We start from the raw sequence: 26,262 nt of genomic DNA, 5'->3' as shown, positions 1-26,262 counted from the left end.
AGAAGGCTGACCCCAATCCCAGTCCCCACACCCACCCCACCCAGCCCTCACACACCAGGACAGACTCTGGCCAGCAAAGAGCGGTATCTAGAAAGTATCTTCTCTTTATTTAAGTTAAACAATTTTCAAGGATGGTTTCCATCTATAAAATGGACAAAGTACAAGCTCTGTACAGCAGTTCTTTTTAAAAATCAACTGGAAAAAAAAATTACCAAACTATATTTTGAATTTGCAAAACATACTCACAGATACCATCATCTGAGCTTTTATGAGGACATAAGAAAGGACCAGCACAGAGAAGACAACTAACTTCGGCACGCTTTGCTCGAAGGGCTCTTAGGAAAGAATTCTGAGTTTTAAAAACAGGAGTGGGAGGGTGAGATAGTCCTGATGATTAAAAACTAACGCAACCGCAGTAAGTCACTTTGGCACACTGTGTCATGTAAACATAGCTCACCGCAAAGGACCCCTCCCCGGCCCACCCCTGCTCTTGACGCCCGGACCATCCAAAGCCGCCTCCCAGCTCAGGGACAGGACGCCGCCCCCAGGGCATGGGCCGCACAAGGGTCTGGGTAGACACGTGGGATGATAGGAAGGCTGAGAGGGCCTAGGGGTGCGGGCGGGGTAAAGGTGAAGGGGCAAAGGATTCGTCAGAAAACGTGATTTTAAAACGAGCCAGATTCATCCATTTCCCTCCTTACAGTAGTAGCAGCTCGCAGGTCACAGGGTCTGACAGAAGAACCTGGGTGCTGGGGGCTACGCACACCCTGCTCTGGCCTGCACTCCACAGCCTCGCACAGGTACCTAAGGGGGTTTTCCTCAGGCTCCCCCCGAGCGCCCACCGTGAAAGACAGAAGCGTGCGGAGTTACTCCAGCGTGGGGGCACGCTGCCCACTCACAACACATCTGGTTGCATGGCAGGGGAGGCGGGAAGAGAAGACCTATAGGGCAGCCCTCCAGCCAGGCTTCCACCTCGGGGCCGCTGTCCTACAGTGCACACATGTGGGGCTCCCGCCGGGGAGGAAGACACACAGTGGCCCCTTTCATACAAGACACAGGGAGGAGCATGGCACCGGCACAACCTCCCAGGGTGGCTCCTAACTCCAAGGCCGCCGCTGTCCCACCGAGGGGCCTGCAGGTGTGCCTAACTGACGCTTTTCTCAGACTGCCAGGCCGTGCCAGCCTCTCTGAGACTGAGCATCTGTGTGTGCGGCGCTGGAGAAGGCGGCCAGGAGTGGAGGAGGAAGCAGGGCACCGACCACAGAGTGGCAGGGGTGACGAGGAACATTCCTGAGCACCCAGGTAGAAGCCAGGCACCTCTCCCCGTTATGACTTTCAGTTCATAACTGTCTGTGGTTTAACAGGACCCCAAGGCTCCTGTCTCCCGCCCTGAATCCTCAGTGTAAATGAGCAGGTATTGTTTGGTTCTGACCCTTCCTAATTCTTTCCCCAAAGCCCCCTGAAGCAGTCATCTTGGCCAGGCGGGGTGTGGGAGGGAGCTGCGGGCGGGGCAGGACTCGCTGCCTGGCTGGAGCTCCCCAGGCCAGCAGGTGTGCAGGACTGTGAGCCAGGCCTGTGCCCTGGCTGACGGGCTCATCCCTGACACTGCTGGCCATTAATTCTGAAGGCCCAGCGTGCAGGGCTCAGATCACAATGAAGCCAATACTAGCGTGTGACAGCTGCCTGGCATCATTGGTCTGCCCTGTCGCCAGGGGGCAGCGGTATTGCTGGCTCACACAGAGCTATGGGGTATGTCTTATATTCCTTAGAGAAAAGAAATTTAATGTAAAAAGACCCAAAGTGATATCTGTCAAAATAAGTAACCGCTCCAGGTTCACAGATACGCACAGCACGCAAGGTGGATTCTGACGCACAGTAGGGACTCTCAGGCTGACGCCCAACAGGGATGCCGGGGCCGAGGCCGGTGGTCTGGAGGAAGCCCCCCAGCTGGCCACAGCAGTAGCACCAACTGGCTGATCGGGCTCCAGGGGACAAAGGCCACCTCCTCCCTCTGTGAGAAACTGGCCCCACCGGGCTCTGGCCCCTTCTCCCGGAAGCTGCGAACGGCTTTGTGGGGAATATACAAGATGACGATGATCTACAGAAACCATAGGGAACTGACCGTACATTCTTTCTCTATATAGCTTTATATTTAGTGTCCCACCATAGAAAACTTCATCCTCAATATAGCAAGTACATGAGGTGGAGGGGAGTCTGGCCCAGGAAGACACTTGCGAATGGAGGAGCAGAGAGAGGGACTATTGACGTAAACCTGCCACGTGACACGACTCGGCTTTGTGGAAACCATACGTGATTTCGAAGGGATTGAAAATGGAGATTTCAAGAGTTCTCCTCGCTCCCCTGGGGCATGTGTGCCCCCTCCTCCCGCCCTGTCCTCAGCTCGCACGCATCCGTTCAGTTGCTTCTACCACTCCCCAGTCGGTTGTCGCTGGGTGTCACTCAGTTGCGGAGCCGGCAGAAGTGAAAGCTGGAAGGAAGAGGGGCGCTCCGGCCTGGGGAAGGGGGCCCGGCTGGGCTGCACCGAGAGGAGGGGGAGGGCAGTTCTCGCTTCTTGCCGCTGCTGTGTCTGCACAGTCGTCCGTGCCTTGCCGAAGTTTGACTTTCAGACCATGATGGAATACTGAGGTATATTAGTTTCGCGGAAAGTTTAAGAAACATAATCAATAATGTGATCACCAGACTCCACCCAATGGTGCAGGAGACAGGACGGCAGGGCCTCCCGGACCCTCCTACTGCTGCAGGTTGAGCGTGAACTTCCACTGCTGCGAAAGGGCCGGGCCACACACCTCCACGCTTAGGCCCCCGCTCTTGGCCGTGCGACTGTCCAGGCACAGGTTGCTGCCCACGTGCCTCAGCTTGGAGTTGCCCTCGATCTGTTCCCATTTCTGCAAGACACAGGAGAGTGCCTTAGAGTGTGGGCACAAGCAAAGGAGTACAAACAGATTCGTGTGAATTCAGGACCTTGTGGCTGCATTAAAAACTCACAGATAGACACGTTTTTCCCAGCCTCTCATCTGAACGGCCGAGGAGCTTGCAGCAGCCCCACAGGAAACCAGCCACAGGTGCTGCTGGGACCCAGGAAGGAAACATATTCTCTGCCTTGGATCAAAACTCAGAACGTCTCCTGCCCCAAACTTTCTGTGGGTGTCCCCTCCTCTGAGCCCCAGAGCTCTGGGCACCCACCCCTTCGTCATTAACACAGGATTTGATGTAGGGGAATTTGCATGCCTTCGTATGAAAGCTTGATCCAGTGATGGTTCACCCCAAGAAGGGATCCACACAATGCAGGGCCAGATCCTCCCCTGGCTGTTGGAAAGCAGCCCTGCCTGGAGGCCTTGGTCTGGGCACCTCCATGCTCCCACTTAGGGCTTTCTGCTCGGGGGAGCCAGAGGAACGGTGTCAGGCCAAATGTCAGGAAGAGAGATGGTTGTTTGAACAGAACATAGCATTGAGAAGCCTATTTCTATGTAGTCTGTTCTCTACTGGTGTGCAAGCTCCTTGGTGGATATGAGAAACTTGTCTCTGCTACCCTTGAGCCCCCTGGTGCTCTGTATGGCAGGGACCAATGTTTGCTGAGTTCTGAACATGCCGCTTGTAAAGTACAGGGTACGATGCCTCTTTACTAACACTCAAATCAAGCGAACAACCAAACTCAACCCACATACCCGTTACCCACCAACTAAGCCAGAATCAAAGTGCACAACCCAGCCTGAAGGAAATCTGAGGAGCCCTGTTTAGCAAGTAACATAAATACCCCTTTCAGCCTGAGTGCAGGCGGCTCACGACACTAATCCCAGCACTTTGGGAGGCCGAGGCAGGAAGATCGCTTGAGGCCAGGAGTTCAAGACCAGCCTGGGCAACATAGCAAGAACCCATCTCTACAAACATTTTTTTTAAAAAAAATTAGCAGGGCATGGTGGTGCATGCCTGTTGTCCTAGCTCCTTGCAGGCTGAGGTGGGAGGATCGCTTGGGCACAGGAGTTCGAGGCTGCAGTGAGCTATGGTCATACCCACCCCTGCACTCCAGTCTTAAGCAACAGAGTGAGATCCTGTCTCTTAAAAAAAAAAAAAAAAAGAAAGAAAAACAGAAAAATCCCCCTTTAAAAATCTCTAATGTTTGTTCTTAAAAAAAAAAAGTAACATTTTTTTCTTCCCCAAAGCTCGTTTCAAATAATGAAGTCTGTGGTTCTAATTAATTTTTTATACTGTGTGCACGAAAGCTCCTTCACCTAAGTATTTTTTGCAAATCCTTTTGACATTGCAGAATTAAATTTTCTCACTCCTGCCTCCCTTTCCCCTTTGACTCTGCAAATATGCACAACATATGAAAACATGGACGTGCCTGGAAACCAAATGTTCCAACTGGCAAAGCCAGTTCAGTTCCAAGATAAAATTTGCTAAGGAGCTTCCTCTTGAGGGGCCAGTGAGTGAGGCAGGGAGGAGCCGGTGCAGGCAGAGGAGCCCAGTGCTGGGGACCCGACCTGCGCGAAACACCACAAGGATGTTGTCACTTGTACCCTGCTTTCCTTATTTCCGTCCACCTGCTCACCTGGAGTTCTTGCCAGCAGGGAAAGACAGTGCAATCAGAGGAGCCGGGGAGGCTTTTGCTAAGTGCCTGTCATTGCCTCTTTCATTTCCAGCTCCCTCGTTGCTGTCAATCACCCCTCATGCTGTTTTTCCCCATTGTCATGTAAAGTGTGTATGTATTGAGGCTGCCCTGTTACTCTGAGCAGCCAGGAATCTTCTCAACAAAGAATTCGGAATGAACGGAATCTGATTCTGGCCACTGGAGGGACTGCCTGTCATGTGTCAAAGCATCAGCTAAATCAAGAACCTTAGAAAAACAACAACAAAACCCCAGCTCCGTCTCGCACAGGTGGCCTTGTGGGCTCTGATCTGTCTGTCTGATGGGATTGTGGTTGGGGGTGGGGAGCGCAGATTTTCAAGGCAGTCAGACTCTACTGAAACAGCCCCCACATCCTCTCTAATAGCCTGAGTCTTGGGGTTTAAAACCTAACAGATCCCCATTTATACATGCCATACATCCAGAAAAACTTATTATTTATAGGTCTTTTCATGCTTCACAAAGGTCCTAAGCCGTGTCAGTTATGGTTCCCCAAAACTGGGACTGAAGCAGAAACACCTGTCAATTCTTGAAATTAAGCAATATTGAAGTAATATTTGTTTTTTAAAAAGGTGTCAACTAAAGTCATCACTTTATCAATCCATTACATCCAAAGACATCTCTGCTCCGTTACATCCCAGGGGAATGTGTTTGAGACTCACCCAGTACTTGGCTCAGCAGATGCCAGCCTTGCCCTCGAGGAGCTTCCTCTCGAGGGGCCAATGAGTGAGGCAATTTCTAGGTGGTTTGGGTCCAAGCGGTGCTAGCCTTCTCTTGTTTAACAGGCACTCCCTTACACATTTTGGTATCAAGTCATCAACACAGATGGACATTTAGAGATGCGGATTGTGAGCAGAACCCTAGAGAGGGGCTCCCACTGCCAGGACAGGCTGGGACTCTGCAGAGCAGGGAAGGAGGAGCACCCAGAGCTGGCGCAGGGGTTTGGAGACAGACAGGTGAAAGAGGGCCCTCTGCAGGCGTCTCCCTGACAACTGGGGTCAGAACCGGGGACTCGGTCCTGGCCTTGGTCTTCCCAGATGACTCCAGGGTGGAGGCAATGACTTTCTGAGACTTTTCTGTTGTGAAATCAGGGTTAGACTAGAAGCTGGCTTAGGCTCTTGGCTCCAGTAGGTTCTGTGCCTCAGTTTCCCTACATCCCATCTATCTCTAAGGACCGACTGTAAGAACAGGGGCAGGCACTCCAAGTATGGGCATACAGGGAGGACCTTTTGTGCTTGCATTTCTATTCCTGACACTAACTGTTACCCCATGCCTTGAGAAAGGGTGTGTCCACAAGCTGCCACAAGGGAATACGTCAGAGAAAACCGGCTTACAAGGCAGGTAGAAAGTCTATTCTGAAATGTTTAAAGAAACTGTGTGTATATGTGTGTGTGTGTATATATGTATATATATGTGGTGTGTATATATATGTATATATCTGTGGTGTCTATATATGTATATATGTGTTTATATATGTATATATATGTGGCATGTATATATACGTATATATATGTGGCATGTATATACGTATATATATGTGGCATGTATATATACGTATATATATGTGGCATGTATATATACGTATATATATGTGGCATGTATATATACGTATATATATGTGGCATGTATATATGTATGTATCTGTGGTGTCTATGTATATATGTGGTGTTTATATATGTATATATCTGTGGCATTTATATATGTATATCTATGTGGCATGTATATACATGTATATATGTGGCATGTATATTTGTATATATATGTGGCATGTATATATATGTATATATCTGTGGTGTATGTATATATGTATATATATGTGGTGTTTGTATATATATATGTGGTGTGTATATGTGGTGTGTATATATATGTGGTGTTTACATATGTATACATGTGGCATGTATATATGTTGTGCTTGTATATCTATGTGGCGTATATATATGTGGTGTTTATATAAATGTAGCATGTATCTATATGTATATATATGGTGTGTTTATATGTATATATATGTGGCGTTTATATATGTATATCTATGTGGCATGTATATATATGTATGTATCTGTGGTGTGTGTGTGTATATGTATATATATGTGGTGTTTGTATATATGTATATATGTGGCGTGTATATATATGTGGTGTGTATATATGTGGTGTTTACATATGTATATATGTGGCGTGTATACATGTGGTGTTTATAGATGTATATGTGGCATGTATATATATGTATACATATGTGGTGTGTATATATATGTGGCGTTTATATATGTATAAATGTGGCATCTATATATACGTATACATGTGGTGTGTATATATGTATATATGCGGTGTTTACATATGCATATATGTGGCATGCATATGTATATATATGTGGTGTTTATATATGTATATATGTGGCAGGTATATGTATATGTGGTGTGTATATATGTATATGTGGTGTGTATATATATGTATATATATGTGGTGTGTATACATGTATATATATGTGGTGTGTATATATATACGTATATATGTGGCATGTATATATGTGTATATATGTGGCGTGTATATATGTATATATGTGGCATGTATATATGTATATATGTAGCATGTATATATATGTGGTGTGTATATATGTGTGTATATATATGCTCACATATATACACACATAGACACACACACTTGCATTATGTATCGAGTACCATCCATGTGAACATTAATCATTTAGAATTTTTGTAAATTGAAATAGAAAAAAGTATTTGATGAATAAACAAAAGTAGATAATTTCTCTTTAAATTTTCAGCGGCATAGGGAAGAGAATGAGAATATAATCAGAAATAAGCAACATTAGGTTTGTGGCTTAAGTCTAATAGGGCAGCTAGACATTATTCACAGTGATGCAAAAGAACACATAAGTACACGCAGAGATGGATGCTTTGAGAGGCAGCACAGAGCAAGAGGGCGCAGGCCGTGGCTACCCTGGTCTGGGTTAATCACGGGCACCCACGGGTGCCTGCAAGCCGTACCTGTCTGCTGTCATTTTCTCGGCAGCCCTGCAGCTTTATAAGAGAGCCCGGTGCCCGGTCCACCACAGTAAGGCACAAATCCATGTGCTTCACCGACTTCTCCTTCGTCAAGGCCCATTCCTGGAACACAAAACCAGAAGTCAGAGGCGTGCTATGCACCGGGCTGTGAAAGGAAAGAAGGGGCATCGATGAGGGCTCAAAAAGGAAATGGGTCACGGGGTGGAGCTTAGATTCAGAACCCCTGAGCCAACTGAGAACGAAACAATTACTTTTTGCCTAAGGGCAAATTTATAACATCAGAGATGTGGGAGAACCTCACAACTGAGCAGTAAGTTGGCTGAGTGATGTGCAGAAGTGCTTTGAGGACCTCAGTAACTAAAATAAAACTATTAACTATTTTAGCCCCAAATACAAGTTAGACTGCCTTGTTCATTTTTCTATAATTCAATGTGAGCTGTAAAAACTGTGGCACAAGCTTGGTTATACACCAGGTAGACAGTTGGCAACTGGTCCACCCATGCTATTTTGGAATGACTCTGCCCTCATGCAGGTATGGCCTGCAAACAGCATTGATGAATGTGAACTGTAGTAAATAACACATTGCATATGTAAGCAAAATATATCGTGTATAGCCTCCTAAGTGAATGCTAATTGATCTATGGGTGCTCATGAAGCCCTCTGAAAACTGGAGGAATAGATCTATGAATTTCTTTGAATACATTACAGCTAAATTTAATGGGGTGCTATGTGCCAAGCATTATTTTAAGCCCTTTATACAACAGCTCCATGAGGGCTATTATTATTCTCATTTTATAGATGAGAAAACTGAGCTAGAGAGTGTTTAAATAACACACCATGATGTTAACAAACAAACACACACATATATGTACAAACACACACAAGTTAAAGGCTGTGACAGGGTGAGAGGACAACCATTTTGGATACTAAATGAGACATGGTCCCAGGTGGCAGAGGAGGCCGGAGCCTGTTCCAGGCAGGGCCACAGCAGGGACTGGAAGGTGAGGCTTCTGACCATCACTCTCCATTTGTCCCACTCAAAGGGATGAACACCCCTTAATATCGAGGGGCAGCAAGGCCCTTTCCAGTTTAAAACCCCACAGGGACTCACTATCCACTTCCATCCCCTTCCTCTCTAAGCCCCAGCACGCTGCAGTGGCCCTCCCCTCCGTCTGTCTGTCTGTCTTTCTATCGGTCTGTCCCATGACCACCTGCTGCACACCTGTATGACACCGGCGCTGTCACAGAGCCAGGCTCCCTTTCTAGTGGGGAACATGAAAGACACACAAATAAATGTATTCTGCAACTTCAGGCACTATTATGTGCTATGAAGACACTGTTTTTTTCTTGGTTCTTGGAAACAGAGGTAAGGAAAGGAACAAATAGTGTTTAAAGAAGCCTCACTGTCTAGTATCTGTATCATGTTGGAACAAATAGTCCGTCATTAGAAAAACATTAAAAGGTGAAGATGCAGCCCGGTGTGGTGGCTCAGGCCTATCTATAATCCCAGCACTTTGGGGGCCAAGGCGGGAGAACTGCTTAATGCCAGGAGTTCAAGATCAGCCTAGGCAACATAGCGAGACCTTGTTTGTACTAAAAATAAAAAATAAGTTGACCGGGTGTGGCAGTGCATGCCTGTGGTCCCAGCTACTTGGGAGGCTGAGGTGGAAGGATTGCTTCAACCTGGGAGGCCGAGGCTGCAGTGAACTGTGATTGTGCCACTGCATTCTAGCCTGGGTGACAGACCGAGACCCTGTCTCCAAACCGAACTGAACCGAACCGAACCAAACCAAACCAAACCAAACCCTAAAGATTCTAGCATTCAGACCTTATACAACCACTGGCGGGATGCACCATCTCCAGCTCTCAGCATCAGCAGAGGGGATGCAGAGGCACGGACACCCGTCTAGGAATCAGTGAAGACACCTTCACCTGTCTGAAGACTTCCTCCTCCCCTAACAGGGAGGGAGGCTTGGGCAAGCCTGCTCACTTCCCGGGTCTTCCATTTTCTCACCTTTTAATTAGTGTTCCTCACATTCTACTCTGTGAGGAATCCTAGGAAAGACGGATTCTAGGTCAAATGAATTTGGGAAACAGACTTTGTGCTGTGTTTATCTCTCGGAAATTCAGTCTATTAAAGGCTCTGAAGAGTCCTAGAGTAGAAGCACCTGCTTGGCCTGTGCACTGTAGCATTCCAAACACGGCATGGAGGCAGCCCTGACCCACCCAGCCCTGCCGGCCACCTTCTCTGGGGAAGGCCACCCGACCCTGAGTCGAATCCCAACATTCTATGATGCTGTCATTCAACATGGGTGAGTTCCAGCCAGCTCTTCCAAGCACCCACAGGCACTCACGTCACCCATACTCTAGGACAGTGTGACATCATAAAAATAATTATTTGGTCTCTGGCACAATCACAAGGCTCCTAAAACCCTTGTCATTTCCTGAGCCACAGGGGTTTTAGGAGCATCTTTCATTCTAGTGTTTGGTCTTTGACCCCGGTTCCCAACAAACAGCTCCTACTCCCTTGGAATTTATTGGGTGATGGGAGTGTCTTGTTCTAATGAAGCAACTCTAATGGGCTCCTGGACGGGGCTGGTCACCAGAAAGACCAGGTTATGCTGAGAAGCTTGAAACCGTCAGTCCCCCGCCACCCCATCCTCTGGGAAGGGAAGAGGAGCTGGAGATCATGCCCATGTGATGAGGCCTCCGTCAAAGTCCTTGCACTCCGGGATGTGGCTGCCGGACATGCGGAGGCGCTGGGAGAGCGGCACACCTGGAGAGGGCGTGGAAGCTCCAACACCCCACCTCCACACCGCGTGCTATGCATCTCTCCCGTCCAGCTGCTCCTGGGTTTCAGTCTTTCCTAATGAACAGGTAAGCCACGAAGTAAACCGTTTTCCTGAGTTCTATGAACTATTCTTGCAAATGAATGAATTCAAGGCGAGGTCGCGGGAGCCCTGATTTACAGTCAGACAGCAGGTGACAACTTGGACTTGTGACTGGCATCTGGAGTAGAAGCATCTTGTGGGAGGAAGCCCATAACCCGTGGGGTCTGTGCTAACTCTGGGTAGGCAGTGTCAGAACTGAGTTGACAGGCATGACACTCAGTGTCCGCAGAGAATTGGAGAATTGGAGAATTGCTTGGTGTGGGGGGAAAAGCCCACAGGGCTGGTGTCAGAGGTGAGAAGTTTTGTGAGAGTATAAAGGAGGAAAAGCAGCTTTTTTCCTATTCACTGGGTCACAGAGTATGGAAGGTGTGGAGTGTAGAGAGGAAGCCGTGTGTGTTTCCCATAGGCAGATGGCGTTCAGGATGGAGAGGGCCAGGAAGAAGCACATTGTTCCGTCCCTGCACTCACAGGGGCTGGGGACACCACCAGGATGTGTGAAACTGTGGTACACAGAGACGCCCACTCACAGTGAAGAGGAGAGTCCTGAGTAAGAGGGACAACGCTGGTATGGAGAAGGGTTCCAGACTGTCCCTGGCAGCAGGTGTTGGCGGATGCTGGATGGTCTGCTGACACCCAGTTAAAGATCATGTCTGAATGTTTTTACAACCTCCTTGCTATTGTGTGCTTAATTACTGTAAAGCAGACTTTACACAGGATTCCAGAAAAACTAATTCAGCTGGGCAAACAACAGAGCTAGTTGCCGTTTTGTTCTTCTGTTGCATTTCAATTATCTGAATTTGTAAAATAAAGTTCATAAATATTTAAGAAATGCTTTTTTGAGCTGCCACTCTTAAAAGGCATGGCCATTAATTTTCTCATTTCCTGTGTGTCTGCCAAGGCTCAGCCGGAAACCAGATAACAAACCTCACTCTTCCAAAGCACCAGGCCCTATTTTCAGTTGGGAAATATTACTTACCCTCTCGTTTCTCATCCGTGTCACACGCTATGCAAAAAAGCATCACTTTCTATCGGTTCAGAGAGGACTCACGCACAGTGGGTTTGTGAGCTGGAATATCTGAGCCGTACTGTCTAATGTGCTAGCTACAGGGCACCCAGGGCCATTTGCATTTAAATTCACCAGAATGAAATGAAATTAAACTTGTAATTCACACTAGTCATATTTCAAGTGCCCAGTTGCCACAATGTGGCTGATATACTGAATGGCAGATGTAGAGCATCCCCATCATAGCACATGGTTCTATTGGAAAGTACTGATAGTAGCCCACTGGCCCCAGACTGGCCCAGGCAGTAAGGTGCTCCCAAGCTGAGGGTGTAACATACATCATGTCATCCTGCCATCTCACATCACATTGTATGTGCTGATGTGTTCATCTTTCCACTAGAAAACGCTTGCTCCTCAACTCCTATTTTTTAAAAATTTTTATTTATTTTTTTGAGACAGAATCTCACACTGTCACCCAGGCTGGAGTATAGTGGTGCGATCTCGGCTCACTGCAACCTCCACCTCCCGGGTTCAAGTGATTCTTCTGCCTCAGCTCCCCGAGTAGCTGGGATTACAGGTGCCCACTACCATGCCCAGCTAATCTTTTGTATTTTTAGTAGAGACGGGGTTTCACCATGTTGGCCAGGCTGGTCTCGAACTCCAGACCTCGTGATTCACCCACCTCAGCCTCCCAAAGTGCTGGGATTACAGGCGTGAGCCACCGTGCCCGGCCCTAATTTATTTTACATTATTTTAGGAACATGGTCTCACTCTGTTGTTCAGGCTGGAGTGTAGTGGTGCAATCACAGCTCACTACAGCCTCGACCTCTTGGGCTTTAGCAATCCTCCCATCTCAGCCTCCTGAGTAGCTTGGACTACAGGCACAGGTCATCACAACTGGCTAATCTTTTTTTTTTTTTTGTAAAGACGGAGCTTCCCTATGTTGTCCAGCCTGGTCTTGAACTCCTGGCCTCAAGCAATCCTCCTGCCTTGGCTTCCTAAAGTGCTGAAATTACAGGTGTGTACCACTACAGCAGGCCAAATCCTCATTTAGAATCACTTGTTAGCTCTTAGAGATCTGGTGGTGCCCTCTGACCCTAGACAAATTAGATCAGGCTCTCTGGGCATAGCACCTGGCATCAGCATTTTGTAAAAGTTCTCTGGGCAGGCTGGTTGTGGTGGCTCACGCCTGTAACCCCAGCACTTTGGGAGGCTGAGGCATGTGGATCACTTGAGGTCACGAGTTCGAGACCAGCCTGGCCAACATAGTGGAATCCCGTCTCTACTAAACATACAAAAATTAGCCGGGTGTGGTGGCACGTGCCTGTAATCCCTGCTACTTGAGAGGCTGAGGCAGGAGAATGGCTTGAACCTGGGAGGCGGAGGTGGCAGTGAGCCGAGATTGCACCACTGCACTCCAGCCTGGGCAACACAGCCAAACTCCGTCTCAAAAAAAAAAAAAAAGCCTGGGCAACACAGCCAAACTCCGTCTCAAAAAAAAAAAAAGAAAAAAAAAATTTCTCTGAGCAATCCCAGGATGTGGCCATTGGAGGGGGACAGAGAGTGAGCAGGGAGTCAGCACTTACTGCTGGAAAGGAAGGGAAAGCCCACATGTGAGAACAGTAATGGCTGCACAACAGCAAGAAGGAAAAGCAAAAGCAGAGTGGGAGACACACCCTGCAGACCCGATCTTGTTCACTCCTTGGCACAGCCCTTTGCTGACCCCTGAAGTTGGTGCAGAGGCAAGGAATGGGCGCTCTGTGTCAAAGGTCTGTGCTGTGGCTGCCCTCAGCACTGTGCAGAGAGGAATCCTGGAGACTCTCTACTGGGCAGGACCGGGGGGTGAGGGCCACAGCCCTGAAGGCGGGACACAGGCTGTCCTCCTGAGGGCAGGTGAGGAGGGTCACAGGCAGCAGCTACACAGACAAAGTCTTTGGTTCCCGTAGACCTGCCACCTCCACAGGGCCCAGACTCTGTCTCGTGTTACTAGCTGTGCGGTAATTAAGGTGCAATGCTGGCGGGGGGTGAGCCAGTCACAGAGCCTGACGCACAGGGGATGAAGCTGGGGCCCGAGACTCTGATGACGAACTCTCTCGGCCGGGGCCTGAGCACACGCTTCTGTTTAATGTGCTGTAGCGTAAGGTGTGTCGCTTTCCAGCAGAGGCGCTGACACAGAAAGGAGTGACCTCTCCAACCTTCCATAAATCATCAGAACACTGCAGAGTGACAGTGGGAACTCCAGAGATTAAACACGGAGGTGAGGCTGGCCAGGGATCACAAGAGGCCCAACACCCAGACAGTACGGAACCTGGGTGGGCACCTCGTCCGTTTTGTCATCCACAGACCAGAGGTAAGCTTCACCCAACCCTACACGAATTATCCACATGTCTGCATTTGGTGAAATCTGCATTAATGCTGTGTGATCGACCAAGCCTTGCAGCACCGTCTGTCCGGTTTAGATGAAACCCAGCTTGCTGAGAATGAGACCCATCATTTCCCCCTCCCTCACAGAGCTCCACTTTTCTGAGGGCATTTCGGTGGATTTTCACTATGGTTCTAGATGGAAACACATAAAACATCTCTCCCCAAGCTCACTGCTTTCCAGATCTCAAGAACAAAGCCCAAACCATGGAAATAAACACGCTGTTATCAGTGTAGAAGGAACACAGCCAGCGGAGACGCCTCCTCCAGTCACACCTGGACCACAGCGGGACCCACAGCAGCACCGCACGGCGCCCTCCATCACCTCTGAGTGAGTCCCCTGGGCCCCCCGCTTCCCAGCAGTGACTGAGAACACAGTTAACAGCAGGGTCTTGGATGGAGGAGCTACAAGGACACAGAAGCATGGACACGGTGGGGATGGCACCTTCCCCTCCGCCTCTGCCCACCCCACCAATACCAGCTGGCTCCTCCTCCTTTCACCCGCTTCGTCTTCCACTCTGTTTGTTCTTCCCTCCCCCTGTATGGGTTCCTCCCTCCAGGTGACTCCTGACACGGGTGGGGCCTGTGACGAGTACCCAGGGGGGCTGACCTGCTACAGTGTGAAATACCTAAAACTGGTCCCTCAGGCTATAGCTGAAGGCTGGCTTGTGTGTGCACCCACACCTGAAGCCTGCTCCCTGGGGAGTGTCCTCACAGCCCAGAGGCTACACACAGACGCCAGGCCCTGGGAGCCTGGGAATGGCATGCAGTCCTGCCACACAGCAGAGGGAAGCCCAGTGATTAAACATGGAGGTGAGGGCAGCCGGAATAACAGGAGGCGCAGCCACCTGGACAGCACAGAGGTGAGCAGGTGCCTCCTCTGTTTCATAACCCACAGTGGCTCCTCTGCTCAACTGTGAGTTCTGGAAGGCAAGGGATTGCTTTGTTTGCCTTCTAATCCCTTTCTCTAGCAAAATAGTACTGCCAAGTAAAAAACCCTCCAACAATATTTATCAAAAGGACAGAGATCAATGATATGAAGTCATGTACACGAAACAGAGAGCAAAACAAGCTCTGCATCTGAGTAACAGAAAAAGAAGAAAGAAGCAGCACATGAGTCTAGGTGCATGTGCACAAGGAAGAGAGGGGGACTGAGCCCGGGAATCAGGAGAAGAGAGCTGTTGTGTGAGAACGTGATGAGCATATGTGCTATTGTGTGTGTGTGTGTGTGTGTGTGTGTGTCACACACGTGCACAGGCACTGGAAGCACACTCATATCTGTCGGCAAACCTGACCCATTGGCTCTTACCCAAACATAGCATCACATTTAGCTATTCTGAACCATCGAGACTGTTGACGCTGATACGGAGAATCCAGGATCAACTCTACCAAAACCACACGAGAAAATGAGGCTCTCTCTCATTTTCTAACTCATCAACGCCAAGTATCTTCTATTTAAGGGCTGGAGATTTAGGGGAACCAGGGCCAGGCCCTGGCTACCTGCCCCATGCCCATGCTGGATGGGGACTGGCCCAGTCAAGCCCCAGGCAGGCAGGTTCCTCTCTCTCTTCTAATTTAGGATGTCCAGGCCATTGCAAGTAACTGCTAAAACCACATCACCAAGTGAAGAAAGGAGTCAAGGTATTTGTGGATTGCAGTCTGCCTGGACACTCACTTGGGAGGAGGACCCAGCTTTACACAAAAGCACATGCCCCCTTTCAAAAATACTTCCAGTTAAAGAAAGTTAAGAAATCAATACATTCAGGATACACACACGGAGTTAACCTGCCTTTTTTAAAACTGCAGGCTCTCCCAGTGCCAGGCAAGTTTTCAGGAAGGGGGTAAGAGCACACAGGATTACCCTTTGGTGCATGAAGCTCACATTTCACCCAATTCCTATTATTATCTCATGGGAAAACTGTTTTTAGAATCCGAAGTCTCAGCTGGGCCCATCAAGCCTTCATTTTGTCTCTCCTTTGCAATGATGGGAGAAGAGAAGGTAGTGGGTTTTTCTGTTTGTTTGTTTGTTTGTTTTTTGAGACAGAGCTTTGCTCTTGTAGCCTGGGCTGGAATGCAATGGTGTGATCTCAGCTCACAGCAACCTCTGCCTCCCGGGTTCAGGCAATTCTCCTGCCTCAGCCTCTCGGGTAGCTGGGATTACAGGTGCCCGCCACCACGCTTGGCTAATTTTTTTTTTATTTTTAGCAGAGATGGGTTTCACCATGTCGGCCAGGCTGGTCTTGAACTCCTGACCTTAGGTGATCCACCCACCACAGCCTCCCAAAGTGTTGGGATTACAGGCGTGCGCCACGGCGCCTGGCGGTTGTGCATTTTTATGCCTCTCAGAAAAGGTGTGTATGTGTGCAATGGAAGCAATTAATACTGAGTATCTTCTATCTTAAGCTATTATCTAACAGGCAGGGGCTATAACTAGCAGCCGCCTTAGTGCCCACAGTTAAGAATCTGTTGTATAGGCATACCAGGCAGGAGGTGTAGACATCATATTCTGGGGCCAGACGCAGAGGCAGAATGGGTGCTTTGCGGTTGAGTGCACATGGCCGAGAGGACAGAGCTGGCAGGAAGACCAGGGCCCTGCAACCAGCAACTGTGACCAGTGCACCCTTGCCGCTGCAGCAGAGCCTGGTCCGAAGCTGATGACAGAGCTGATGCACCAAAGTGTGTGACATTCTATCTGGCCCTGGTGCTGGCTGCCAAAGAGGCTGTGGCCAGCAGGAGCCAGGTGCTTCCTCATAGACATCACCCATCCCAGGAGAAAGGTGGCAGCTGGGACTTCTAACATCAGGACCCCCCCAACTCCTGCTCTCTCTGGGCCTGCAGGTGACCTGGCTTCCCCATGCACATACCTGGTTTCCCCCAGCATTGTGACATTCATAAACTCCAACCACACCATCAGCAAAGTGTCCCAAAGTGTCGAGGCAGTTAGTTCCCTGCTGCAAGGCCCCAAAAGCTATATCCTGATGGTCTGGAACCCTGAAAAACAACGTGAGAATCACCTGCTTCACTGCACATGACCACCAGCTCCCGTCCACCAGCCCCTTTGCTCAGTGGCCTCATGACAGGTGACAGGAACGAGAGAAAGACCCAGTGACTAGGCATCGTGCCTCTTCCTACCACAGGTAGTGTGTGTCAGGGACACGGCATTTCTCCCAGGCTCTGGACTTCCAACACTTTAAGACTGTATGTTGCAGAAGTATTCTTTATATTCTATATCAGGTCATTTTTTTTTTTTTTTTTTTTTGGAAAGGAAGGAAAAGCTCCTGATACTCTTCAATGTTAGTCTTATTGGAAGTCATTTAGAAAATCAATGTGGTCAGATCCTGTTGCCTTGAACTTTCCAATACACTTAGGATCTGACCTTTATCCAGTAAAGACGGGAAAGGTGGGCAGACTTGTCAGGTGGTCTAATGTGAACAAAGCCACAGCCACGGGGAAGAACAACGTGCTTCAGAACCAGATCCAAACCTCAGCCCACCTCTGCCAGGTGCTGGCTTTCAGGCAAGACTCACTTTCTCTGAAGCTCGATTTGCCCTTTGGTAGGCTATGGGCTACCCAGATCTGCTGCAAGTGTTACATAGAACATTTCGTGTAAAGCACACGGCCCAGTGCCTGGCTCGTAGGAGGCACTCAGTAAACGGCGGTGATATTACAGACACAAAACACGAGGCTGATGTCTCCCTCACCCCCCACAGACAGGGGAAGCAGATTTGCCAGCCAGGATGGTGCTCAGTGCCTCAGATGTGGTCTTCAGTGGGTGCGGGGCCCAGTGTCACTACAAACCATGGGTGACCTCTGTGAGAAATGGCAGTCAACTGTGACTGAAAAAGCAAAGTGAGTGGCATGGTTGGGTTAAAATCCACTGAATTGAAGCCCCTCTTTGGCTGACGGAGAGTTGATGAGCAGCCGCCTTAGTGCCCACAGTCAAGAATCTGTTGTATAGGGACACCAGGCAGGAGGTGTAGACATCATATTCTGGGGCCAGACACAGAGGCAGAATGGGTTCTTTTGGGTTGAGTGCACATGGCCGAGAGGACAGAGCTGGCAGGAAGAAGACCAGGGCCCTGCAACCAGCAACTGTGACCAGTGCACCCTTGCCGCTGCAGGTGACCATCGCTGGTGACCATCTGGTGCTCTCAATCCCCAGCAAAAGCTGTCCTGCACGGCAGGGATCCGAGGGAGAAGGACGCTGTGTTCTCTCCTGTTCTCCTCCTAGGGGGCATGGGCCACCTGGCGCCTGGCATGTTACTTGAAAAGCAGAGGAAACGGTTCCAAAGAGCCAAGTGAGCGAACAGGAGCAACAGAGAGAGGCCGCATTACCTAACTGTCCAACAAATCTCCGTGACAAGGGCTCTGAAGGAGCTGTTAGCGGAAAGATAATGGTGGCAAGTCTTGCGTTCGCAGGCACTGTGCTGGAGATATGTGAGCCGCTGTAAAATGCTCTGGGAATATTTAGAATAAGGAATGTGCCGCATTAAGGCACGACCTGCCTGACAGTCCCTTTAAGAAGATGAAGTGCAGATGGCTCCTCCACCCCAGCGGATCTATAGGTCTTCTCACGAGGTTATCAGCAGGTCCCTCCAGATGGGGAGCTCGTATTCGCTTAAAACAAGAGGCTGGGTGTGGAAATAATGCTCAGAAAGGTGTTTCTGCCATGAATCCTCCGGAGGGACGTGGGGCAGCAGCATTATTACTTCCGTTTCACATGTGATTAACCTAGCTGGGAGGAGGGAGCCTCGTGGGGGCTGTTATCTGCTGGCCCACAGGAGCAGCAAGGGTGAGCGCAGCAGATCGGAGGCATGCAAAGGCGCCTGGCGGGGGGATCGAGGGCTGGCTGCAGACACTGCATGCTTGCGGAGGCTGGGGACTGCTCCTGGTCACTCGAAGAGCCTGTCAGACACCAGTCCTTCAGGTCACCCAGCCCATCACCTTGCCAATGGAGAACAAGCCAAAAACAAGGTGAGGCCCGGGGGACTGCCTCTGGGACTCCGAAGCATGGGAGGGCAGCTCTGCAGGACAGAGACAGCAGCAGGCCAACTTGGGAGCAGATTCTCAGCTCCACACCATGGAGTGAGACCACAGGCTCTCACTGGGGCCCAGGTGCCCAATCTCATGCCTGCAGCCCCACCTCCATTTCCCCTCTGCTGCTTCTATGGCCTTACTGGCTTCTAAGCCCTTACAAAGTGAAACCCCAGATCCCTGGGGACTTACCTTAACTCTGGATAGACATTTTCAAGGTACCATTTGAAAGGCTTGCAGCTGAGTTTCTTCCTAAGCTCCAATCTGCTCTGAATACTGGAGAAGAGGGAAATAAGATTCCTTTATAAATTTTAAGAATAGATGGGCTTTCTACATCAAACTTGAAAATCTGCTGAGGAGAACAGGGTTGGGGCAGGTGGTGTGGTGTGGACTGCCCATGCTCCTGTGCCCACAACCCCTTCCCGCCTTGGCACCTGGGTAGCTGAATTCAACGCTGGGGGCAGCCCCTTACCTCCCACCCCCACACCCCAAGAATCCCCAGTAATTGTGAGAAGGCAGAACTGCCACTTACTTTCCATAAGGAACGTTTCTAGCAGAAGGCACTGCTGCATAATAGAAATTTTTGTATTCATCCATCCAGACCTCTGCTGCCCGGCGGGTGTTTCTAGAAAGAAAATAAATCTTGAGGTGTGATTTCCTTTCTTTCTGTCTGCATCACTCCATTTGCACCTGTCTGCTGGCGTGTGACTGAGGCGGCTCCCTCTGGGTGTGCAGCAGCTCCAGCTGGGATCACGGCACACAGCAGAGGGTGGGCTGTCCCCACCAGCACCTCGAGCTGGACCTGTGGGGAGCCAGCCTCAGCGGGTGCTTACTGAACCATTGGAATGGCTTTCTTGTCACACAGATGGTCAAAGGGCAAAAGGCAAAGTGGAAATTACAGCACGAGCCAATATTTTAAAGGAGGGACTGGGGTCTATATCTTAAAGAAGGACAAAAGAAAGTTACTCTTTAAAAACTCTCACATTACGCGTCCACAGAGGGCCGGGGCCACAGAGCACAGCAAGGAGATTCCAGGCCCCACGGCCTTCTCCGTCACGGCTACGACACTATCAGACAGCTCTGCATTAAAGTTCAGACTACATAAGATAAGAGTTCCTGGGAAAATCACTTTCTTTTCTGCGGGGCTAAGCTGAAAGACTGCCATGTTTGCACTAGCTTTTTTTTTTTTTGATGGAGTCTCGCTCTGCTGCCAAGCTGGAGTGCAGTGGCGAGATCTCGGCTCACTGAAACCTCCGCCTCCCGGGTTCAAGCGATTCTCCTGCCTGAGCTTCCTGAGCAGCTGGGACTATAGGCATGTACCACCACACCCAGCTAAAATTTTTGTGTAATTTTAGTAGAGACGGTTTCACCACATTAGCCAGGATGGTCTCGATCTCTTGACCTTGTGATCCACTCGCCTCAGCTTCCCAAAGTGCTGGGATTACAGGCGTGAGCCACCGCGCCCAGCCGGCTTTTCTAGAAGGAAAGAAAACCATGTACTTAAATCTCATAGAGAGAACCATGATTTGCCATAAATAAAGCCCCTGGGACAAGCTACTCTTGAATGTCTGACATGCATTAAAAGCTATCATCTGCATAGGTATCAGCAGTGTATTCTGCCAAGAATTATCTTAAAGCATCCATGAAGTAGCAAGCACACAGCTAACCTCTTTGCTCCCATATTCTGGTCTCGGCTATAAGGTGGACTCCCACTTCAGGCTATAGCTAGCCCTCCTTAAGAACCCCATAGGAAGGCACTGTGTTCTTCCAAAATAAATACAGTAAGGAGGTAATGCTCGCCTTTTAAAATAATTCCTTAAAATGGCGAAACTTTCAACTGATCTGAGATACCATTATTAAAATAATTTCTGTATGGGGCCTATATCTTTCATATAAGGTGATATATATACTTTTTCATTTTAGTAAGTAGAATATGGACTATTATCCATAATGCCATTCAACACAGATAAGAACATATGAATGCACCTATTCTCTGACCCAGCAGCTCTACTTCTAGAAATTTATCTCAAGGCAGCAATCAATTAGGAATGAAATATACATGTGAAAATATGCTCACTTCTGCTTTGTTTATAATAGCAAAAAAAAAAAAAAAAAAGAGAAACTTTATGACTAAATATGAGGAAGGAATCAAATGAAATATTCTGTGACCACTAAAAACATGAGTGTGCATCTTACATGTTGACAGAAATGATGTCCTGGACTTGTGGGAAAATAAAATAGTTTGCAGAATTGCATATAGTGGATATGTGTGTAGAGGCAGAAGGAGAGCCAGTGAGCAAACAAGAGAGAGAGACAGAAATAGATACTGACAGACGAATTCATCAAATTATGAGAGTGTTATGGCACAACTGGTTTGGTGATGAGACTGATGAATTTTTACTTTCTCTCTATTAAAAAATATACAGATACAACAATGAGTACTTAAAGTGCTGGGGGATACTGGATCATACATATCATTTCTCAGAAGAGCCACTAAACATTGTTAGTGGGGTTTTGCTAAGTGACCTATGCCTTAACCTATGCCTAGTCAGTTTTTAACCAGTTATTAACTTAAATACTTGTAACATCTGGCACCTGGATTTCCCCAACAGGGACATGAAAGGATTTGATTCCAGAATGTCCTAGGTTCCTTTCAGCCTTAATGATTTAAAGGTTTTATCAACTCCAGTCATACTGTTTTCAAATCACTCAAGTTTTTAAGTGACTAAATCACTTAAAAATTCCTAAACGCAAAGCAACTCTTTTCTGTCTTTGTAATAGAAAAGGATAACTAGGCAGCCCCAAGGAATGATCTCCATGTGCTACTCAGTGCTAGCTCCTTTTATTCATTTATTTATTGGTTCACTCAGGTATTTATTTGGTATCTACACCAAACAGTCTCAGTGCTGCAGATACAGTGGCACCGAGGGAGACTCACTTTTGTCCAGGCCCTCCTTGTTTTTGCAGGTATTTGCAAGTATTTAGGTAGTATTAAATAAGTATTAAATAAATATTAAATGTCATCTATTACAAGTTGGGCATCCCTAATCCAAAATGTCCTAACATCCAAAACTTTTTGAGCACCAACATGAGATAGTGACGAAACTGCCTTTGCAAAAAATTTAACAATGACAAAATTGACAGTTTAAGGCATCTGACCTGACTGACTCCATCTAACTTCTAACGTCTAAACTGCCCTTGTTCACTCCTGGGCATAGGCAGAACTAACTTTGGGAGAAACTTAGTTTATAGTTTAACTTTAAAACAAAGATGGTAACAGCCCTTTCCCCAAACAAACCCTCTTTTTGTCTGGGTACCAGACTGCCTTTGTTGGACTAACAAATCAGCCACAGATTTGCAACTTCCCCAATTACTCCTGCAGATAACATCACCATTGCAGAACGTAAGATTGGCCTTTTGTAATGTCTTTTCAGGCTTCTGCACTTCTGATGACTCCATCCAGATCTCCAGCTTGTCCTGTGGACCCATCCATGCAGAAGCAGACTCGGCAGGCACAAGGACCATTTTCCACACCCCTATGATTGCACCTCATCCAATCAGCAGCACCCACTCCCTAGTCCCCAGCTCCCTCCAGATTATCCTTGAAAAACCCTAGCCTCTGAATTTTGGGGGAGATTGACTTAAGTAATAAAATTCCAGTCTCCCACTTAGCCAGCTCTGTGTGAACTAAACTCTTTCTCTATTGCAATTCCCATCTTGGTAAGTCAGCTCCATCTGGGCAGCGGGCAAGGTGAATCCAGTGGGCGGTCACAGTGACGCCTTTGCTTTCTGATGGTTTAATGTACACAAACTTTGTTTCATGCAGAAAATTATGAAAAGTATTGTATTAAATTAACTTCAGGCTATGTGTATAAGGTCTATATAAAACAAACAAATTTTGTACTTTGACTTAGGTCCCAGCCCCAAGATATCTCATTAGGTAGTACATATAAATATTCCATATCCTGAAAAAGTCAAAAATCCAAAATATTTCTTGTCTCAAGCATTTTGGATAAAAGATATTCAACCTGTATAGGAGATTAAGAGAAACTGCAGCTGGAAAGAGACCTCAGAAATACAGTGATATAATTCCACTTCTTTATCTTTCAGATGAGTCAACTGAGGTAAAGAGCAACCTGGCTGAAGGTCAACAGCAGGGCTTTTTAATCAGATCCATGCTGCCCCAAAATAATGAAACCCTGGATCAGCTTCTTTTCCAAATCTTGAGAATACAGGCTCCTGGGCTGTGAAATACAATTTGAAAATGTTTCTCTTCTAACAAAGAGTGCAATGTCTTGAGTACTTTAACATACTGTTTTCTGAAATCTCACTGTTTGCTGGTAGGTATCAATGGCTTTGGTGTGGGGCGTCTGATATGTCTATATAAAGAATCTCATGCTGCCCCAGGAAAAAGCACATATATCCATATTTTTGTTTGATTTTGTAAAGCTTATTGTACAAGATCACATTTTTGTTTTAATAAAGAACAAAAATGAAGTTTCAACATTTGTGAAGAAACATAGTTTTTGAGAGAAGATAATTTGGTCAGAAGCATTACTTGTTATTTTGCCTTCTATTAAAGTTTTCTCAGAAATCAGATTCCCTATGTGAAAAATCTGACTTCTGTATAATAGGTGTATTGTATAATCTGTACTTTTAAGAAGTTTAAAAATGGCCAGGCACGGTGGCTCACGTCTATAATCCCAGCACTTTGGGAGGCTGAGGCGGGTGGATCACTTGAGGTCAGGAGTTCAAGACCAGTTTGGCCAACATGGAGAAATGTACTACTAAAAATACAAAATCAGCTGGGTGTGGTGGCGCATGCCTGTAATCCCTGCTACTCAGGAGGCTGAGGCAGGGGAGTCGCTTGAATCCGGGAGGTGGAGGTTGTGGTGAGCTGAGATCACGCCATTGCACTCCAGTGTGGGCAACGAGATCGAAACTCCGTCTCAAAAAAGAAAAAAAACCAAAAAGTTTAAAAATGGCTGGGCACGGTGGCTCACGCCTGTAATCCCAGCACTTTGGGAGGCCGAGGTGGGCAGATCACCTGAGGTCAGGAGTTTGAGACCAGCCTGGCCAACATGGTGAAACCCTGTCTCTACTAAAAATACAAAAATTAGCCGGGCATGGTGGCACATGCCTGTAAGCCCAGGTACTTGGGAGGCTGAGACAGGAGAATCTCTTGAATCTGGGAAGTGGAGGTTGCAGTGAGCCGAGATCGCACCTTTGCACTCCAGCCTGGGCAACAGAGCAAGACTCTGTCTCAAGAAAAAAACTAGACAAAAGATAAGCTAGCAATCCCCACACCCACACCCACCCCAAGGCTTTCCCTATTTCTGTAGGGGCAGCACGCCAGCGCAGTTGTGTAACAAAGCTCCTGGGCATCACCCTAAATTAATTTCCCGCTCTACCTCCCTTCTCTCTGCCGCCCTATTAGCAAACAGCTGCCTGCTTCACCATGGAGCTGGATCTCACCCCATCTCCACTGCTACACACCTGCTCCAGGTACAGCCAGGTGCTGCTTAATGAGAGGGATACAACCTGAAAAATGCATCCTTAGGCGATGTTGTCGTTGTGTGAACATCATAGAGTATATTTACACAAACCTAGATGGTGTATCCTTAATATACACCTAGGCTACATGGTACAGCCTATTGCTTCTAGGCTACAAACGTGTAGAGCACATGACTGTCCTGAACACTGGAGGAAACTGTAACACAATGGTAAGTATTTGTGTATCTAAACAAAGAAAAGGTAGAGTAAACACACGGTATTATAATCTTATGGGACTACTGTCACCGACCGAAACGCTGTTACAGGTGCATGACTGTATCACATCTCTGGCCTGGGCTACTGCAACAGTGCTCACAGGACCCTTGCTTCTGGCTCCAAGAGTGGAGGGGGCACTCGTACCATTGTTTCACCATAGGGTCACCACCTGGCCACCCTCTGCCCAGCAACCATACGGACCTTTCCAAAGCATAAAACAGACATCAGGCACTGCTGAAAAGCCCCAGTGTTTTCCTTCAGAATCAAATAACATCCAACGTTTCCCATGACCTGCAAAGGTGCATGGCCCGGGCCTGTCTAGCTCTTCTGCCCCTGTGCACTGTCCCCTTACTCTCTAGGTTCCAGCTACCCTTGGCTTCCATTTGGCTGATATGCCAAACGCACCTCAGCAGCCTGGATCTGCTCCTCCTGCAGGTAGTCTGATTCCTCGGGGTCCCAGAGGGACCTCCTCCCACCTTTCAAGTCTGAACTCACATAACACCTCCTCAAAGGTTCTCTTGACCATGAAAACCTCTCCTACTGCTTGTCCTAATCATGCCCGACCACATGACTGCATCTTACCTTCTTCACAGCATTGATTACTATTTGAAAATACCTTATTTAGCTGTGTGTTTTGCTGTCTACACTCAAGAGAAGGCAATCTCCCTGAGATCTGGCTTGTACGCTGTTCTATCTTTAGCATGTAAGAGAATTCCCTAGAAGGACACTTGGCTTGATAGAACGGCTATTTGCTATTTTACTTTCGGAAAGCCCTTCCGTTGGCATCTTCATGTTTACTAAAATATATCTACTCTCCATCAAGAATCGTGACTCTGTGTCACGATGTCTTGTGGTATACACAATTAGTACAGCTTGACTTTAATATTTGCTATGGTTTGAATGTTTGTTCCCTCCAAAACTCATGTTAAACTTTAATTGCCATTATAACAGTATTAAGAGGTGAGGCTTTTTTTTTTTTTTTTGAGACAGAGTCTCGCTCTGTTGCCCAGGTTGGAGTGCAGAGGCACGATCTTGGCCCACTGCAAACTCCACCTCCCGAGTTCAAGCGATTTTCCTGCCTCAGCCTCCCGAGTAGCTGGGATTATAGGCGCCTGCCACTATGCCCGGTTAATTTTTGTATTTTTAGTAGAGATGCGGTTTCCATGTTGGCCAGGCTGGTCTCAAACTCCTGATCTGCCCAAACTCAGGTGATCTGCCCATCTCGGCCTCCCGCAACGCTGGGATTACAGACATGAGCCACCATGCCCAGCCGAGGTGAGGCCTTTAAGAGGTGACCTTTAAGAAGTGACTATGCCATGAGGGCTCCACTCTCATGGGGGGGATTGATGCTATTATAAAAGGGAGAATTTGGCCCCCTCTTGCTCTTTCCTGCCCTCTCTTTGCCCTCCCACCATGTGATGACACATCAAGAAGACCCTCGCCAGACACCAGCACCTTGATCTTGGACTTCTCAGCCTCCAG

At 47.9% G+C, this 26,262-nt stretch overlaps 2 protein-coding genes across 9 annotated transcripts in view, besides 7 other annotated features; one reads left to right on the top strand and one right to left on the bottom strand.

The window, feature by feature from the left end:
* GALNT2 (polypeptide N-acetylgalactosaminyltransferase 2) overlaps positions 87-26,262 on the bottom strand; it is a 224,334-nt gene continuing 198,158 nt past the window's right edge. For all 3 annotated transcript variants that reach the window (NM_001291866.2, NM_004481.5, XM_017000964.3), the window contains 5 exons: positions 19,544-19,636; positions 19,204-19,287; positions 16,842-16,968; positions 7,645-7,764; positions 87-2,906 (listed from right to left, as the gene is read on the bottom strand). In NM_001291866.2, the coding sequence (NP_001278795.1) occupies positions 2,751-2,906; positions 7,645-7,764; positions 16,842-16,968; positions 19,204-19,287; positions 19,544-19,636 (580 nt within the window). In that variant the 3' untranslated portion in view covers positions 87-2,750. The remainder of the gene's footprint in view (positions 2,907-7,644; positions 7,765-16,841; positions 16,969-19,203; positions 19,288-19,543; positions 19,637-26,262) is intronic.
* LOC124904542 (uncharacterized) lies at positions 10,099-23,552 on the top strand. Of its 6 annotated transcripts, XR_007066927.1 has the most exons (6): positions 10,099-10,539; positions 12,484-12,574; positions 13,693-13,906; positions 14,147-14,308; positions 22,446-22,731; positions 23,122-23,552. XR_007066927.1 is itself a non-coding variant. In XM_047439172.1 (3 exons), exons 1-3 carry the CDS (start codon positions 10,363-10,365, stop codon positions 22,625-22,627), a joined length of 573 nt encoding a protein of 190 aa, XP_047295128.1. In that variant the 5' UTR covers positions 10,099-10,362; the 3' UTR covers positions 22,628-22,682. The 6 variants fall into 6 exon arrangements, 1 of the variants encoding a protein (XP_047295128.1); XR_007066928.1 differs by lacking the exon at positions 14,147-14,308 and having other exon boundaries at positions 13,715-13,906; XR_007066926.1 differs by lacking the exon at positions 14,147-14,308.
* Positions 12,965-13,473: an enhancer, noted in NCBI's record as "H3K27ac-H3K4me1 hESC enhancer chr1:230404482-230404990 (GRCh37/hg19 assembly coordinates)". NCBI's record gives its function as "activates a minimal SCP1, AML or CMV promoter by ChIP-STARR-seq in primed H9 embryonic stem cells {active_cell/tissue: H9 hESC(primed)}" and the evidence as "EXISTENCE:reporter gene assay evidence [ECO:0000049][PMID:30033119]".
* Positions 13,474-13,983: an enhancer, noted in NCBI's record as "H3K27ac-H3K4me1 hESC enhancer chr1:230403972-230404481 (GRCh37/hg19 assembly coordinates)". NCBI's record gives its function as "activates a minimal SCP1, AML or CMV promoter by ChIP-STARR-seq in primed H9 embryonic stem cells {active_cell/tissue: H9 hESC(primed)}" and the evidence as "EXISTENCE:reporter gene assay evidence [ECO:0000049][PMID:30033119]".
* Positions 13,500-13,729: a silencer, noted in NCBI's record as "fragment chr1:230404226-230404455 (GRCh37/hg19 assembly coordinates)". NCBI's record gives its function as "represses an EF-1alpha promoter that drives an FKBP-Casp9 reporter gene in an ReSE screen in HepG2 liver carcinoma cells {active_cell/tissue: HepG2}" and the evidence as "EXISTENCE:reporter gene assay evidence [ECO:0000049][PMID:32094911]".
* Positions 13,984-14,492: an enhancer, noted in NCBI's record as "H3K27ac-H3K4me1 hESC enhancer chr1:230403463-230403971 (GRCh37/hg19 assembly coordinates)". NCBI's record gives its function as "activates a minimal SCP1, AML or CMV promoter by ChIP-STARR-seq in naive H9 embryonic stem cells {active_cell/tissue: H9 hESC(naive)}" and the evidence as "EXISTENCE:reporter gene assay evidence [ECO:0000049][PMID:30033119]".
* Positions 14,493-15,003: an enhancer, noted in NCBI's record as "H3K4me1 hESC enhancer chr1:230402952-230403462 (GRCh37/hg19 assembly coordinates)". NCBI's record gives its function as "activates a minimal SCP1, AML or CMV promoter by ChIP-STARR-seq in naive H9 embryonic stem cells {active_cell/tissue: H9 hESC(naive)}" and the evidence as "EXISTENCE:reporter gene assay evidence [ECO:0000049][PMID:30033119]".
* Positions 16,092-16,592: an enhancer, noted in NCBI's record as "H3K4me1 hESC enhancer chr1:230401363-230401863 (GRCh37/hg19 assembly coordinates)". NCBI's record gives its function as "activates a minimal SCP1, AML or CMV promoter by ChIP-STARR-seq in primed H9 embryonic stem cells {active_cell/tissue: H9 hESC(primed)}" and the evidence as "EXISTENCE:reporter gene assay evidence [ECO:0000049][PMID:30033119]".
* Positions 16,593-17,093: an enhancer, noted in NCBI's record as "H3K4me1 hESC enhancer chr1:230400862-230401362 (GRCh37/hg19 assembly coordinates)". NCBI's record gives its function as "activates a minimal SCP1, AML or CMV promoter by ChIP-STARR-seq in primed H9 embryonic stem cells {active_cell/tissue: H9 hESC(primed)}" and the evidence as "EXISTENCE:reporter gene assay evidence [ECO:0000049][PMID:30033119]".

This window comes from Homo sapiens, chromosome 1 (assembly GCF_000001405.40).
Source record: "Homo sapiens chromosome 1, GRCh38.p14 Primary Assembly".
Lineage (NCBI taxonomy): Eukaryota > Metazoa > Chordata > Mammalia > Primates > Hominidae > Homo > Homo sapiens.
This window is presented reverse-complemented; position numbering and strand designations above follow the sequence as displayed.

What these genes read in the sequence shown, in the direction of transcription:
- LOC124904542 (XM_047439172.1), top strand. Translation starts at nt 10,363, where the DNA reads ATGAGGCCTCCGTCAAAGTCCTTGCACTCCGGGATGTGGCTGCCGGAC. An exon ending in CAGTCTTTCCTAATGAACAG is followed by an intron (nt 10,540 to 13,692) that starts GTAAGCCACGAA and finishes AATGTGCTGTAG; the next exon opens with CGTAAGGTGTGTCGCTTTCC. An exon ending in TTGTCATCCACAGACCAGAG is followed by an intron (nt 13,907 to 22,445) that starts GTAAGCTTCACC and finishes ATGTCTTTTCAG; the next exon opens with GCTTCTGCACTTCTGATGAC.